The sequence below is a fragment of the Homo sapiens genome, chromosome 4 (assembly GCF_000001405.40).
Source record: "Homo sapiens chromosome 4, GRCh38.p14 Primary Assembly".
Taxonomy (NCBI): domain Eukaryota; kingdom Metazoa; phylum Chordata; class Mammalia; order Primates; family Hominidae; genus Homo; species Homo sapiens.
Genome location: NC_000004.12, coordinates 168,921,382 through 168,937,327, shown reverse-complemented (window position 1 = coordinate 168,937,327; position 15,946 = coordinate 168,921,382). Strand labels below are relative to the sequence as shown.

At 39.0% G+C, this 15,946-nt stretch overlaps 2 protein-coding genes across 33 annotated transcripts in view, besides 1 other annotated feature; one reads left to right on the top strand and one right to left on the bottom strand.

The window, feature by feature from the left end:
• Window positions 1-15,946, top strand: part of CBR4 (carbonyl reductase 4) — a 115,770-nt gene that overhangs the window by 72,928 nt on the left and 26,896 nt on the right. For 2 of the 6 annotated variants that reach the window (XR_007057980.1, XR_001741341.2), the window contains exon 6: window positions 8,651-8,791. The exons of 2 other annotated variants lie outside the window; for them this stretch is intronic. Coding sequence is in view for 2 of the 4 variants with exons in the window: in XM_047416331.1 (XP_047272287.1) it covers window positions 8,651-8,676 (26 nt within the window). In the remaining 2 variants the exon portion in view is untranslated. Of the gene's footprint in view, window positions 1-8,650; window positions 8,941-15,946 lie in introns of those variants that run through there. 2 more of the 6 variants (XM_047416331.1, XM_017008783.3) reach the window with 1 other exon arrangement.
• Window positions 5,999-6,500: an enhancer, noted in NCBI's record as "H3K4me1 hESC enhancer chr4:169851979-169852480 (GRCh37/hg19 assembly coordinates)". NCBI's record gives its function as "activates a minimal SCP1, AML or CMV promoter by ChIP-STARR-seq in primed H9 embryonic stem cells {active_cell/tissue: H9 hESC(primed)}" and the evidence as "EXISTENCE:reporter gene assay evidence [ECO:0000049][PMID:30033119]".
• PALLD (palladin, cytoskeletal associated protein) overlaps window positions 8,887-15,946 on the bottom strand; it is a 431,390-nt gene continuing 424,330 nt past the window's right edge. For 19 of the 27 annotated variants that reach the window (XM_011531768.3, XM_011531769.3, XM_011531771.3 and 16 more), the window contains 4 exons: window positions 15,587-15,794; window positions 12,908-13,073; window positions 12,250-12,383; window positions 8,887-11,115 (listed from right to left, as the gene is read on the bottom strand). In XM_011531768.3, the coding sequence (XP_011530070.1) occupies window positions 10,943-11,115; window positions 12,250-12,383; window positions 12,908-13,073; window positions 15,587-15,794 (681 nt within the window). In that variant the 3' untranslated portion in view covers window positions 8,887-10,942. Of the gene's footprint in view, window positions 11,116-12,043; window positions 12,096-12,249; window positions 12,384-12,907; window positions 13,074-15,586; window positions 15,795-15,946 lie in introns of those variants that run through there. The other 8 variants (NM_001166108.2, NM_016081.4, NM_001367570.1 and 5 more) reach the window with 2 other exon arrangements.

The following is a 15,946-nucleotide window of genomic DNA, read 5'->3' as shown; positions in this document are numbered from 1 at the left end:
CTTTCCATGTTTAGTGCTTCCTTCAGGAGCTCTTGTAAGTCAGGCCTGGTGATGACAAAATCTCTTAGCATTTGCTTGTGTGTAAAGGATTTTATTTCTCCTTCGCTTATGAAGCTTAGTTTGGTTGGATATGAAATTCTGGGTTGAAAAGTCTTCTCTTTAAGAATGTTGAATATTGGTCCCCACTCTTTTCTGGCTTGTAGGGTTTCTGCAGAGAGATCTGCTGTTAGTCTGATGGGCTTCCTCTTGTGGGTAACCTGACCTTTTGTGATCCTCCAAAGGAGGATCTTTCTCTCTGGCTGCCGATAACATTTTTTCCTTCATTTCTTCAACCTTGGTGAATTTGATGATTATGAATCTTGGGGTTGCTCTTCTCGAGGAGTATCTTTGTTTTCTCTGTATTTCCTGAATTTGAATGTTGGCCTATCTTGCTAGGTTGGGGAAGTTCTCCTTGATAATATCCTGAAGAGTGTTTTCCAACTTGGTTCCATTCTCCCCGTCACTTTCAGGTGCACTAGTCAAACGTAGGTTTGGACTTTTCACATTAGTTCCCTAATTCTTGGAGGCTTTGTTCATTCCTTTTCATTCTTTTTTCTCTAATCTTGTCTTCATGCTTTATTTCGTTAAGTTGATCTTCAATCTCTGATATCCTGTCTTCCACTTGATCGATTCAGCTGTTGATACTTTTGTATACTTCACGAAGTTCTCGTGCTGTGTTTTTCAGCTCCATCAGGTCATTTATGTTCTTCTCTAAACTGGTTATTCTAGTTAGCAATGCATCTAACCTTTTTTCAAGCTTCTTAGCTTCCTTGCATTGGGTTAGAACGTGCTCCTTCAGCTCGGAGGAGTTTGTTATTATCCACCTTCTGAAGCCTACTTCTGTCAGTTCGTCAAACTCATTCTCTGTCCAGTTTTGTTCCCTTGCTGGTGAGGAGTTGTGATCCTTTGGAGGAGAAGAGGCATTCTCATTTTTGCAATTTTCAGCCCTTTTGCATTGGTTTCTCCCCATCTTCGTGGATTTATCTACCTTTGGTATTTGATGTTGGTGACTTTCAAATGGGGTTTTGGTGTGGACATCCTTTTTGTTGATGTTGAATCTATTCCTTTCTGTTTGTTAGTTTTCCTTCTAACAGTCAGGGCCCTCTACTGCAGGTCTGCTGGAGTTTGCTGGAGGTCCACTCCAGACCCTGTTTACCTGGGTATCACCAGCGGAGGCTGCAGAACAGCAAAGATTGCTGCCTGTTCTTTCCTCTGGAAGCTTTGTCCCAGAGGGGCACCCACCAGATGCCAGCTGGAGCTGTCCTGTATGAGATGTCTGTCGACCCCTGCTGGGAGGCGTCTCCCAGTCAGGAGGTGTCTCCCAGTCAGGAGGCATGGGGGTCAGGGACCCACTTGAGGAGGCAGTCTGTCCCTTAGCAGAGCTTGAGCACTGTGCTGCAAGATCTGCTGCTCTCTTCAGAGCTGGCAGGCAGGAATGTTTAAGTCTGCTGAAGCTGCACCCACCGCCACCCCTTCCCCCAGGTGCTGTGTCTCAGGGAGATGGGAGTTTTCCCTATGAGCCCCTGACTGGGACTGCTGCCTTTCTTTCAGAGATTCCCTGCCCAGAGAGGAGGAATCTAGAGAGGCAGTCTGGCTACAGTGGCTTTGCCAAGCTGTGGTGGGCTCTGCCCATTTCAAATTTCCTGGAGGCTTTTTTTTATACCGTGAGGGGATAACTGCCTACTCAAGCCTCAGTAATGGCAGACACCCCTCCCTCACCAAGCTGGGGTGTCCCAGGTCGACTTCAGAATGCTTGGTGGCAGTGAGAATTTCAAGCCAGTGGATCTTAGCTTGCTGGGCTCCATAGGGGGTCAGATCCACTGAGCTAGACCACTTGGCTCCCTAGCTTGAGCCCCCTTTCCAGGGAGTGAATGGTTCTGTCTCGCTGGTGTTCCAGGAGTCACTGGGGTACGAAAAGAAACTCCTGCAGCTAGCTCAGTGTCTGGCCAAATGGCTGCCCAGTTTTGTGCTTAAAACTCAGGGCCTTGGTGGCACAGGCATCTGGTCTATGGTTGCAAAAACCGTGGGAAAAGCGTGGTATCTGGCCTGGAATGCACCGTCCCTCATGGCACAGTCCCTCACGGCTTCCCTTGGCTAGGGGAGGGAGTTCCTCCACCCCTTGCACTTCCCATGTGAGGTGACACCCCACCCTGCTTCTGCTCGCCCTCCATGGGCTGCACCCACTATCTAACCAGTCCCAATGAGATGAGCTGGGTACCTCAGCTGGAAATGAAGAAATCACCTGCCTTCTGCATTGATCTTGCTGGGGGTTGCAGACCGGAGCTGTTCCCATTTGGCCATCTTCGGTGTATGATCTTTCTGATGTGATGTTAGATTGAATTTACTAATATTATATTGAGGATTTTTGCATGTATGTTCATTAGGGATATTGGTCTGTAGTTTTGTTTTTTTGTTATGTCCTTATCTGGTTTTGGTGTCAAAATTATGCTGGCCCTGTAAAATAAGTTTGGAAGAATTCCCTTCTCTTCAATTTTTGGAATAGTTTGAGAAGAATTGGCAGTTTTTTTTCTTTCTTTTTTAATGTTTGGTAGAATTTAGCTGAGAAGCCATCCAGTCCTGGTTTTTTCCTTGTTGGGAGGCTTTTTATTACTGATTTATTATCATTACTTTTTATTGATCTGTTCAGGCTGTTTCTTTTTGGTTCAGTCTTGGTAGCTTGTGTGTCCAGGAATTTATCCATTTCCTCTAGGTTTTTAAATTTATTGGCATATGGTTGTTCATGATAGATTCTAATGATCCTGTGTGTTTCTGTAGTATCAGTTGTGACAGCTCCTTTTTTGTTTTTGATTTTGTTTATTTGGGTCTTCTCTCTGTATTCTTAGTCTAGTGGCTAGTTGATTTTGTTTATTTTTTCAAAAAACCAACTTTTTGTTGATCTTTTGTATTTTTAAATCTCAATTTTGTTTAATTCTACTCTAATCTTTATTATTTCTTTCCTTCTGCTAATTTTGGGTTTGGCTTGCTTTTTTTTTTTTTTTTTTTTTTGTTTTTTTTGCTTTTCTAGTTTCTTTTAAAACTTGTTTTGGAGACTGGGTCTTGCCAGTGGCTTTTCACAGGCCAAATTGGAGTGTGCTGTAGTCTCAAATTCCTGGCCTCAAAGCAACCTGGCCCGAGCCTTCTGAGTGGCTGGGGCTATAGGTGTGCACCACTATGCCCAGTTTTTTCCTAGATTCTTAAGATGAATCATTCGGTTATTAGAACTCTTTTTACTTTTTTGATATAGATGTTTATTGCTGTAAACTTCTCTTAATCATGCTTTTGCTGTATCACACAGGGTTTGGTATGTTGTGTTTCTGTTTTCATTTGTTTCAAGGAATTTTAAAATTTACTTCTTAATTTCTTCCTTCATCCATTGGTCAGTCAGGAGCATGTTGTTTAATTTCCATGTATTTGTACAGTTTTGAATATTCTTCTTGTTATTGATTTCCAGTTTTATTCCATTGTGGTCAGATAGGACACTTGATATGATTTCAGTGTTTAAAAATTTTTTGAGCTTGGTTTGTGTCCTAATATATGGTCAATCCTGTAGAATGTTCCATGTGCTGATAAAAAGAATGTGTATTCTATTGCTGTTGGGTGAAATGTTCTGTAGGTGTCTGTTAGGTCCATTTAGTCTGTAGTACAGTTTAAATCCAATGTTTCTTTGTTGATTTTCTGTCTAGATGATCTGTCCAGTGCTGAAAGTGGGGTGTTAAAGTTCCCAACTGTTATTTTATTGAGGTCTATCTCTCCTTTTAGATCTAATAATATTTGCTTTATATATCTGGGTGCTTCAGTGTTGGGTGCATATATATTTACCATTGTTATGTCTTCTTGCTGAATTGATACCTTTATTATTATATAATGTCCTTCTTTGTCTCTATCACTTTTTACTTAAATAGCCTGTATTATCTGACATAAGAATAGCTACTTCTGCTCACTTTTTGTTTCTGTTTGCATTGATTATTTTTTTCCATCCCTTCACTTTCAGTCTTTGTGTGTCTTTTACAGGTGAGGTGAGTTTTTATTTGGCAGCATATAGTTGCATGGTTTTTTTATTCATTCATTCATTCAACGTCTTTTAATTGGGGAATTTAATTTATTTACATTCAAGGTTATTTATTGGTAGGTGAGGACTTAACTCTTGTCGTTTTATTGATGGTTTTCCGGTTGTATATTCCTTTCTCTTTAATCCTCCTTATTGTTTATTTTTGTGGCTTAGTGGTTTTCTGTAGTGATAAGGTTTGATTCCTTTCTCTTTCTCTTTTGTATATCAGCTCTACAAGTGAATTTTATAATTTCATTTGTTTTCATCATGGTGGTGGTTATTGTCTTTTCACTTCCAGATCTAAAACTCTCTTGAGTGTTTCTTGTAAGGCTAGTCTTCCCTTAGCTTTTGCATATCTGAAAAAGACTTTATTTTCTTTCATTTCTGAGGAATAGCTTTGCTTATATTTAATAAAGAATATTAAAGCAATATTCTTTACTGGCAATATTTTTCTTTTAGTACATTGAATATATTATTTCTTTTTTTCCCGGCCTGTAAGGTTTCTGCTATCTGCTGTTGGCCTAATGGGTATTCCCTTATATGTGACTTGACGTTTTTCTCTTGCTGTTGTTAGAATTCTTTCTTTGTATTTGACTTTTGACAATTTGACTATAATGTGCCTCAGAGAGGAACTGTTTAGGTTGAATCTCTTTGGGGACTTTAAGCTTCTTAGAGCTAGATGTTCATCTCTTTTCCAAAACTTGGGAAGTTTTTTGCTGTGATTTCATTAAATCTGTTTTCTATACCTTTTTCCTTCTCTTCTCCATCTGGAGTTCCAAAATGCAAATATTTGTTCACTTAACAGTGTCCCATACATTCTGTAGGCTTTCTTTATTCTTTTTTTTTTGTCTGCATGAGTTATTTCAAAAGGCCTACCTCCAAGTTCAGAAATTCTTTCCCCTGCTTTGTCTAATCTGTTGTTGAAGCTCTTGATTGCATTTTTTATTTTATTCATTGAATTCTTCAACTCTAAGATTTCTGTTGGGTTTTTTTTTTTTATGTTCTTTGTTGAATTTCTCATTCAAATCATGAATTACTTTCCTGATTTGAGGGAACAGTTTAGCTATATTCTCTTTACCTCACTGAGCTTCCTTAAGATTATTATTTTCAATTCTTTTTATGGCATTTCACATATTTCCTTATGATTAAGGTGTGTTACTGGAGCATTATTGTGTTCTTTTGGAGGTATCATGGTTTCTTGTTTTTTCATGTTTGATATGTTCCTTGATGTTGATTTCTATGCATCTGGTAGAACAGTCACCTCTTCTAATTTGATGAAAGGTTTTGTAGGGAAAGACGTATTTGTATTGGAGGATCTTATAGTGTCAGTTAGGGGGGGTGTGTTGGCTTTGGTTCTAGGTGGATGCAGTACTGTAGTGTCTGTGCAGATTCTTCAGCTGTAATCCAGTCTGCTGATGTTTGTAAGTGCCCAGTGGCCTAGGCTGTGAGAATTTGTAGCAGTGGTGGTGCAGCTTTGCTGGGGTGGGCTCACTGGATTGTTTCTCAAATTGGGGGCATGTGTGTGAACGGTGTCAACCAACTTGGGGTCTTGCTTGCTGGGATTGGGGCCACAGGGATGTTTCTCAGGCCCTGGGTACAGGCATGCTCATTTGGCCTGGGGGTGTGTCTGCCAGAGGTGGGCCAAGTGGGCTGTTTCTTGGGCTTGGGACAGTGGTGTGCCTCTCAGCCAGCCAGGGGGTGTGTCCATGGGGGTTGACCCCATGGGGCTCTTTCTTAGGCCCTGGGCATGGTCATGTGACAGCTCACCTGGCCCAGGGGTGTGTCTACTGGAAGTTAATCTCCCAAGCTGTTTCTCAGGCCCTGGGCATGGGCACAGGGCTGCTGGGAAGGTCTAGGGACATGTATGCTGGGATTGGGCCCACTGGACTGTTTCTCATACCCTAGCCTGGGCACAGTTCCACTGGGTAGGCCTGGAGGCATGTCCATGGAGGTAGGGGGCATTGGGCTGTTTCTCAGGCTTAGGAGATAGGCTGGTACTGGTTCTGGCCTGAGGGCATGTCAGGTGCTTAGCAGCTCAGGGGCCCAGTTTGGCCAGCTCAAGGGTAGGTATGTATGCTTTGGGAGAATTTGCTAGACTGTTTCTCTGCCTGGAAGTTCAGGCAATGATGGTTGGTTTTCCTGCTGTGCAGAACCAGAGTCACAGCCAATCCTGGGCCCAGGTTCTGAGCCTCCAGGGTTGTGGCATTGCAGCCACCCATGTGTGCTTGGTGGAATGACAGAGCCGCTGGGCTGGAGAGGTGCATTTGCTACTGGGCCCCACAGCAGGCACCTAAGGGGTGGAGAGTACATATCTCATGTTCCTAATCCAGAGGAATGCAGCTGTGCAATCGACAGTGGCTCTCTAAAGTCGGTTCAGGGCTTGTGAGGACTGTGGAATTCTCCTGTAGTAAGGATTGTAGGTGTTTGCAGTGGTAATGGGGGCTGATGGGGCTCTGCTTACGTTTTCCCAGCAAAGGAAAGTTTCTCCTCTTGACTCCAGGCCAGTCAGAGTTGGGGGATGCAGGGGCATGGGCAGCAGAGACAAGGTGTCTCCATGCTGCCTTCTGGACTTTCAGTGACCGCAGCTACCCCCACTGCACTCCAGTGCTCTTCCTTTGACACTTCAGTTGAATGTTAACTGTTTGTTCATTTGTTGATCCTTTCTTGGGGGGATGAATGCCAGGAACCTCTAGTCAGCCATCTTGCTGACATCACTCTTATGTAACTTCCCTTCCTCGTCAAATGCTGTTTTTCATATTTATCCCTGCCAATAGAAGTAAATCCATTTCTTTACCTTTAACTCTGAATAGTAAGTAATATTTCATTGTATGAATTAATTAGTTTTGTTCCTTCTTCTACTAATGACAAATTAGGCTTTCCTCAAATTTTTTATCCTTTTCTACGTATTTAAGCTTCTGTAGGGCCTGGTTCTTAATTTTTTTGGTGCCATATGCCTTTTTGACCCTCTGGTAAATCTTCTGGATCCCTTCTCAAAATAATGTTCATGGAGGCATAAAATACATAAAACAAATTATTTTTAAGTAATTATCAAAGTATTAAAAACAAATTTATAATACAAATGCCTATAAATTACATCTATTGGTAACTCTAACAACTGCCATAATTTTGAAGTAATGCTGAATTTAGATGGATTTTAAGATATTTCAATATTTGTAATATAATTTTTACTAGGACAGTCCCAGGTATTTTATACTGTTGTGTTTTGTTGCCTACATTCATAATTGAAGGAAATTCTAAATTTCAGCTAGGGGGTAATGTTTTTCCCATCCAAGTTCACAAATTTTAACCATCTGTGGAATTTTGTTAGGTGTGTACACATTTTGTAATTGAAATTTTACTTTAGTTTCCAACTACACTAAAATAATAGCTGAAATTTATTGAGCTCTTACTATGTGCCAGGTACCATGTCAAAATTATCATCCCATATAATCTTCACAGCAGCACAAAGAGAGGGGTGCTATTTTAATCTCCATTTTCCAAATAAGGAAACTGAGGCTTGGGGAGGTAAAGTAACTTGCTTATGGGTCACACATGATCAAAAGAGCTAGGATTCAAATCCTGGTTGGCCAACTCCAACACTCAAGTTCCTCACCACCATAATATAGAAGTTGTATTTCTATAATTTAAAGGGGTCAAACTAAATTTACATGATGATAAAGGAGGTTGTAGCTACTGAGCAAGCCAAGGGGATTGTCATGTTATGCATGTTCATAAAAGGGAAAATCAAGGACAAATTCAGCATTAAAATATATAATGAATCTTGTAAACTACATAGCAAGTCATGGGGTATAGAAGACAATGTGAAATACACAATTCTAGTCTAATTCAAATGTATCCTCAAAGCTCCATTATATTGCATATGTAAAAGATGAAATATTTTCACCTTATGGAGGCTGTGAATTAGATAAATGACCAGCTTTCTCTTTCCCGTAGTAGGAAAGCCTAGGCCCAAATATGTTGTCCGTCTGTTGTAACTATGTAGATATTAATGCTATATGTGTATATGAATATGGGTGTGTGTGTGTGTGTAATATCTCATTCCTTGTTCCATTTATACTTACTTTCTTCCTTTTCCCCTCACTTTTAATTTATATCATCTTGCTGTATTTTATGTATCCTTGTACGTCATGGCACTGGTGTGTATTTACATGCATACCTACAGTACATTGCTGTGGCAGGCAGAACTGTAAGATGGCCCCTAATATCCCCATCCTCTGGTGTATACACACCTTCTCTCAGTTATTCCAATCAAATGGCGATTTAGCTGCTGCTTTGAAGGGATTTGCAGATGTAATTAAGGTTCCCAAAGTCAGGTGACTTTAAGAAAGGGAGATTATCTGGATGGGCCTGACGTAATTTAAAAGGGACTGGGCCTTTGACAAAGAGAAAGTGTGAGAGGGATCTGAGGTGAAGGAGATTCTCACCACTAACCCTGAAGATGGAGCGGGCTACATGGCAAGGAATACAGGCGGCCTTCAGGAGCTGAGAGAGAGAGCTCCTGGCTGAGGGACTAAAGGAGACGTCTCTTCTACAATTGCACAGAGCTATCACAACCACTTGAATTTTGAAGAGGATCTTGAGCTCCAGATGAGAATACAGTCCAGCTGATACAATGATTTTAGCTTTATAAGATCCTGAACAGAGAACCCAGCTACATCCTGCCCGAACTTGATTTACAGAACTGTGAGTAATAAATGAGTGATGCTGAAGCCTCAAACATCACTCAAAGTTTATGCTAATTGTTATGGCAGCAACAGAAAACTAAAACTGAATATTTATTTTGCTTCACAAAACTGCAACTATTATTTGTCAAATATTTATTGATGTTAAATCCACATTACACCAGCACAACAATCCAAAGTAGTATGATTGATTGATAGTACTTTTTTTTTTATAAATACAATATAAAGGTGGCAAAATAATGCTAGTTAATCCCAAACCCAGCAAATCAGCAAAAAAAGGTCACATTCAGAAAAATTTGGCAAGTAAGACATAAGTCATAATTCTACAATAGAGATAGGTCCATGAGAGACTGTGTATGGTATCTTAAATTCCATATTAGCAATGCATATAAGTGCGGTCAAAGAAACTTGAACCACACTGCATAGAACATCTGCCACCCGGTGCTCAAGCCTATTAATCACTTAAACCTTGGTTGGTTGGTGTTCTTACAAAGAAGTAGAAAGCTGTACATGTGAAACAGTAATATGAAATATATGGGGTGGTACACAGATATAAAATTATTTTAAAAAATACTACGTATGAATTGAGTAACTGAGCTAAGAGAGGCCACTTATAAATAATGAAAGATACATGTGTTTTGCATAAGGAATACAGTGTTTTCTTTTCATAGCAAAGTACCATTAAAGCCTCATGTTTTATACTACTAGGTCAAATTATTTTTTCTCCTTTTTAAAATTTATCGGTTCCGACTTAAAACCATCAAGTCTGGTCAGAATCAACTCAGTCTAGCTGATGCAAAATCATATGCATTCAAAAAGCAGTCTTTACCGAGATGCCTTTACAAACCTTGGAATCCAGCACCTTCTTAAGGCAAAGTTTCATGGCAGCAGGGAAGTGAACTAATAATTTTCATTTACCACATCTTGGTGTCTTTGAAAAAATACTTTATGGCACAAACCTGTTTTTGTCTCTCCTTATGTCTCCACTTCCTTCAAGTAGACTAGATGCTACAGGCAATTTCTCATTTATGCCACCATGCAGTCTCAATCCATTTTCAACTTGCTCTACATACCTAAAATCTTCCACTACTACACAAACCTCAGACACACTGCAATCTCCACAGCATGTGTGCTCCACAGCATGTGTGCTCCACACTTCCAGCTGGCCCTGGGTTCCTTGACTTGTGAATGGCAGTGTTTTTTTCACCTATGTTTGAAGAAAACCAAAGAAAAGCCTGGCCTTTGCTACCTCTCCTGTGCCTTCTACTTTTATCTAAATGAACACACTATAATCATGCTGGTTGCATTTTCCTTCATTCTCCTCCCTACTCCTTCCAAACCCCTGATTCCTCCAAATACTATATATGCCTTGGTCATTTGGGTGGTTTGGATGCTTTCTGTGGAATGAACTGTAATATATTTCTGCTTTATTCAGAGCACTTTATATTATTTATATTTAAATTAGCCTTTTAATATGGTTTGTAAATAAGTTTCCTACCAAGGTAGCATGAAAACACTACACATAAAGAAAAAAAATGTTAAGAACTAAGGTATTAACCTTGTTAGAAAACTCTTTTGATATTAACATTTAAGGCAAGTAGTTCCTTCCTTATGATTTAATATAAAAACATTTGCAAAGACAAGGCATTTACTTGGATTTCTTTGTCATCTCTTCTTCTTTCATCCTTACATATTGCACTTGGTTCACTGTATCTGTCTGAATACACTGTGCTTCAGAATCATTGTAGTACTGTTTGTGGTACAACTCCCTCATTAAACATTTCACACTATCAGGCTACACAGCACCTATATCTTGTGTTTAAAGGCACTTGTAGATAATACAAATTGTAGTTACCTGTGAACAATTGATTTCCTTTAGTATTTTGGCATTTTGATCACTTTAATCACAGCAATTCCAAAGTTTTAAATTGGACAGTAAATGTGTATTTTCTGTGCAATGTGTATATTTGTATTAGCATTATCTACTTAAACTAAGTTTGGTATATCAAGTAAGAAAAATATTATTTTGGTGTTTTTTTTTTAATTTCTTATAGTCAAAGGTATGTTTCTGCCTTTTACATAATGTGACAAAGGAATATGTTGGTCAAGGCAATGGCTGTTTCAGTGTTTCAGCTTTAACAAGAATGCTGGATTACAGGTCCTCACTTTCTACCAAGGCAGTATTCAGTGTCAGGTGAGATGGGTTGGCCTCAGGTTGGAACGCTGCTTTGATGTCTAGTCCCTGGTCCGAAAGTGCTGCATAGCGACTGGCTGAGGGCCGTACTTTTTTTGGCTTGGTGCTCTGTGACTGCTGATGCCACTGGGCTACAAAGAAAAAGAGTAAATTAAGATTTTTAATCAAGATATACTTGGAAAGCCTTTAGATATTTCAAATAAATACAGAATGTCTAGATAGATGCAAGGCACCTGAACACATCCATGGTAGAAACATGGAAAATTTAGGAACACTTTTGCATTTTACTCACATGTTGCAGATTTACTGTCTATACAGGATAGTGGGAATAAAGCAGCTAGATTACAAAGGTCAAGTGTAGTTTATCTTTTTTTTTTTTAAGTAAACACTGCAGCACAGGGAATCCTTTGGAATAGCTGATAAGCTTCCTAATTCTCATCCCCCCTCTCCTTTTAAAAAATATTTTCTCTAAAATAATTATAGCACTTAGGAATTCTGCTGGATGTGGATGCTTTAACACTAATCAACTGAAAGGAATCGTACAGTAGGGAAGGTTGAGGCCACACATTTCTTGATGACCCTCACATAGTTATTTCAAGAAGAGGCAAAATCTGAAATAAATTCTTAAATAAATTCTTAATTTTTTTCTAGTGTTTTTTTTATGTCAATGGATAACATAATGCTGATTGTACTAGACTGTAAATTCAATAGGAATAATTTTCTTTAAATTTGGGATGCATGTACACAAATATACAAACACAAGTCTACTGCTGGCTGCTTAAGATATATTAATGAGAAAAGCACTAAGCCACAAAAGTACGCATTCCAGGATCAATGGAACACACGTTTAGAGTGCATTAGGACACTGCGATAGAATATAGGAAGAAATGTTAAAAGGCAGTCATTTGCAGAACACAGTAACAAGAACATGTGAAAAACATGGTTATGCCTTTGCCTACTGTTAACTCCTAAGGATGCTTGAGTAAGGAAGCCACAACTAACTAGCCAATGTAAGAGAAATCAACATGCATATTTTGCTAATAATTCAAAGTTCCTGAATGATACTTGGGTATTTGTTCTCCTGGTGTGGTTCACTATTAATGTCGAGAAACTACAAATAGAAAGAGAGAGAGAGCAATATGAATTTTTTTGACAAATAAAACACAATAGTTGTTTATAAAGAGTAATGTGATTTGCTGTCCAGATGTCTAATTTTTCATAATTTAATGAGTAAACGCAATGAAATGAGATGAAGTGGCACTCACTGTAAACGTCCAGCCTGGCAGTACAGGACACAATCCCTGCTTCATTCTTGGCTGACACAGTATACCACCCAGCATCTTCTTTTGTGGCTCCCTGAATGAGCAGGCAGATGTAGCCGTGGTTGTCCTGGTGCATGCTGGAGAAAAGGATAAAGTCATTAGGGTTCTAAATTTTTTAAAAGTGGCTTTGGACATGAAGCATCATTTTTAATTAGATCATTAGAAACAGAATTGTGCAAGTAGCTGATAATAGGGTCATACTTATTCTGTAGAGATTACTAGCTCCATTAAAGTTAATGGGAGAAAGAACAGACGTCAAGAGTTGAATACATCTGTGTGCTTAATTCCTAGTTGAGGATCTGCCTTTACAAAAACCACTGAATAGTCTTTTATCACTAAAGCAAATGAATTCATCTTTTCTTTTAGATAGAATGATAAACACTTTTAAGAAATCACCATTAGATCAAACACCCATAGCTTCCTTCTAAAAGCTTAATCCTACATTGGGTAACGCATGGTTTTTGTCTTTGATTGATTTCATCAAAAATCAAAACATCTATGTGGCTTTTACACATAGATTTCCATGCTATATAAAATGTATCTTTTGATACATCATTAGGACTGAACAGTTAAGGATCAGGTTCTCATTGTGCAGTCTTACCTCACTCGGTCAGTGCTGTGAGTGAGTGATTCATTTTCTTTCTTCCAAAATATCTGAGGTGGTGGCACTCCCAATACACGACATTCCAGCCGCACTGGGTACCCATCAGCAACTCCTGTGTTTTGGAGCTTCTCAATAAACACAGGGGGTTTGTGTGCTTCTTTAGCTAAGAAAACATGAGATGAATTCTCTATCAATGATATACAAAAGGAGCACTAGAAAGAATTCAGAAGGCTTTTGGAATATTGCTTGAATAGATCTTTTATGATACCATTTTTTACTCCAGGTGGTAAGATGCTAGTCCCCTCTCCAAATTATTCTTTTACCAAGCAAAGGTCTGTATACTTCATTCCGCTCATTTATTTCCTCAATTAATTCAAGTCTGATAGGCTCACACTGTCCACTGGCCATCTGCTTCACAGAATGCCTGTCTGACCAGCTGTGGGAGACTCCTAAGTCATTGCTAGCATCTGTGATGGCTTCACTACTAGTGATTATGTTACCGATCATTCACAGCCTCAACCAACTACTGCCACCTAGTGGTGCTGAGGACAAGTATTTCTAGGAATTTGACCACTTAGATTCCCTCACTGCCGTTTGCCATGTTTGCCATGAATATTCTGAATATTTGTAACTCTTAAGTGAGACATGCCATAGAATTTAAAGGGGGCAATTTAAAGGGGAGGCATCTTTATCTAAATTTGGCAGCTTTAAATAGTTACCTGTAAACTAGGAATGTATATCCTATAAATTACAAATTCCACTTTGTATTCTTTGAAGGTTATAAAAAAGCTTTATTATAACCTTGAAGGAAGGAACCCATTAAAAAAAAAAGACAACTTTAGTACTATTCTGAAAAATTCAGGACTGATTGTTAATAACACTCTGAATAATACCATCCAATGGGAAATTGTTTTCTTGGATCAGTTGTAGTAGTGGTGGAAAGTACTTCAGAGAATGAATAAGGTTTACTTATTTTCTTTTGAACTACCAACAATGAATCTGAGAATGCATTCCTTTTCCACCACTACTCCCTCATCTGGAGTGACAGATATATCACAGCAAAGCAGCTAGGAAAGAGCTCAAAAAGGATGAAAATTCTACCTGAACTTTTCAAATGCTTAATACTCTCCAACACCACGAGTTAGTTAGAAGGTTGGATTTTTATTGAATTTTACATGGTTGCCCATCCTAGGCTATTCTGGGAGAAGTGGGAACAGAAGCTCACTTTGTATTCTTTCTGGGGCTCCAGTTTTGCAAAGAACATAAAATGTATAAAACAAGTCTTAATGTCATAGCAACTCATCAGTAAGAATAACATCTACCACTTTGCAGCATTGCTGTGCAGGGTACTAGTTATGCAGAGCTTCATACACATTTTTATGATTTAATCCTTAGGAAAGCACTGTGAGGCATTATATTCCCATTTTATATATGGAGAAACTAAGTCGCAGAGATAGCTATTTGCCAAATGTCACACTAGTAAAATCGACAAGAGCCGGGACTGGAGCAGATCTGACCCCAAAGACTTTGCTTCCAATTACTGTGCATCACCGTCTTCTGACAGGAGTGCCAGCTGATGCGCACTGAGGTATCTATGTGATCAAAAGGCATATTTAACAGCAGAAAAGTGAAGTTTTAGTTTGAGGTTAGAGGAATGAAATCAATTGTAGCATGTAAGAATATAGAGTACTTTGTACAAAACTTGAAAGCATGGCTAACCTGTAGCACCACAGTCCACATATTTACCACATTTTTATGTGAAAACATCTTGGTACCATTATCAGAATCATAATCCAAGAGTTTTGTCAAGACTTCTTGGGTTTTATTCTCATTGCTACTCTATTTCTTGAAAGAGCTCAGTGACGTAGTGTGTTTAGAAGAGCACTAGGAGTCTTGTGTTAAATCTAATCATCAGCTTACTAAGTGGGACCCTGGAAAATTCAGAGAAGATTTGCTCTGATTATCTCATAAGGCTCATGTGAGGGCCAACTGATACATAATGTACATGAAGCACTTTGCATAAAGAGGTAGAAGAAATAAATGTTTTGTTATGTTCTTTCTTAAAAGAGATCAGGTACTCAACACCTAACTCTTAAGGATGGTATAAAAACCTTTCCATAAATGTGTTTTCCTTTTAGGCTTCTCAAAGCATAAGACTTCATGTAACAGCACTTTTACAGAATTTACCTACACAATAATCAGTGAAAAAGCAAATCTGAGTGTAGTTTGACAATGACTATGAGGGTAGATGACAGTGTTGTTTTAAAAACCAGGTGTGTGTGTGTGTGTGTGTGTGTGTGTGTGTGTGTGTGTGTATATATATATATATATAAATATAAAACTTTATATATAAGCAAATTCTTTGGTTCTTGGAGTCCATGCTGCTGTTACTATTTCTCTATGTAACACTAGGGGCCACTATACACACAGGAGGTCGAATGACCCAAAAGAGCTAATAAAATCTTTTTCTCTCTTTGCCAGGTTAGTGGGAGAAATGAAAGATTTCTGTTTCTGTTTTGCTAGGCCTTATAACCATGTCCTCATTGGCTATTTTGATGATACAATCTATTTTTTCAATACTTTATTTTCCGTATTGGTTAGTAATGTAGAATTAGTTTACATTTGTAAGTCTGATGTTCATTCTGTCAGAGAGCAAGGATTCACAGATGAGCCTACCAGCAACCACAAGCTCCAGGCTGAATGAGTTCTGTCCTGCTCGGTTGGTAGCTATACATGTGTAGATGCCGGCATCACGTGACGTGACTGGCTCTATGATCAGAGAGTGCACCCCGTTCTCACGCACCAGCATCTTGTGAGCACTGTCAGGGCGTACGGGCTTTCCATCTAGTTGCCAGCTTAGATCTGGGGTTGGTAACCCACTGACCTAAATCATAAAAGAAATACATGTAAATTTTTGTATTAAAACAGAGTGAAATCACTGGTAGCTAAGAAGTCTGCATAAATTCCTCCTTCAGTAGTACAAGAGGTGGCTTTTTTTTTTTTTTTTTTTTGGACAGAGTTTCACTCTTATTGCCC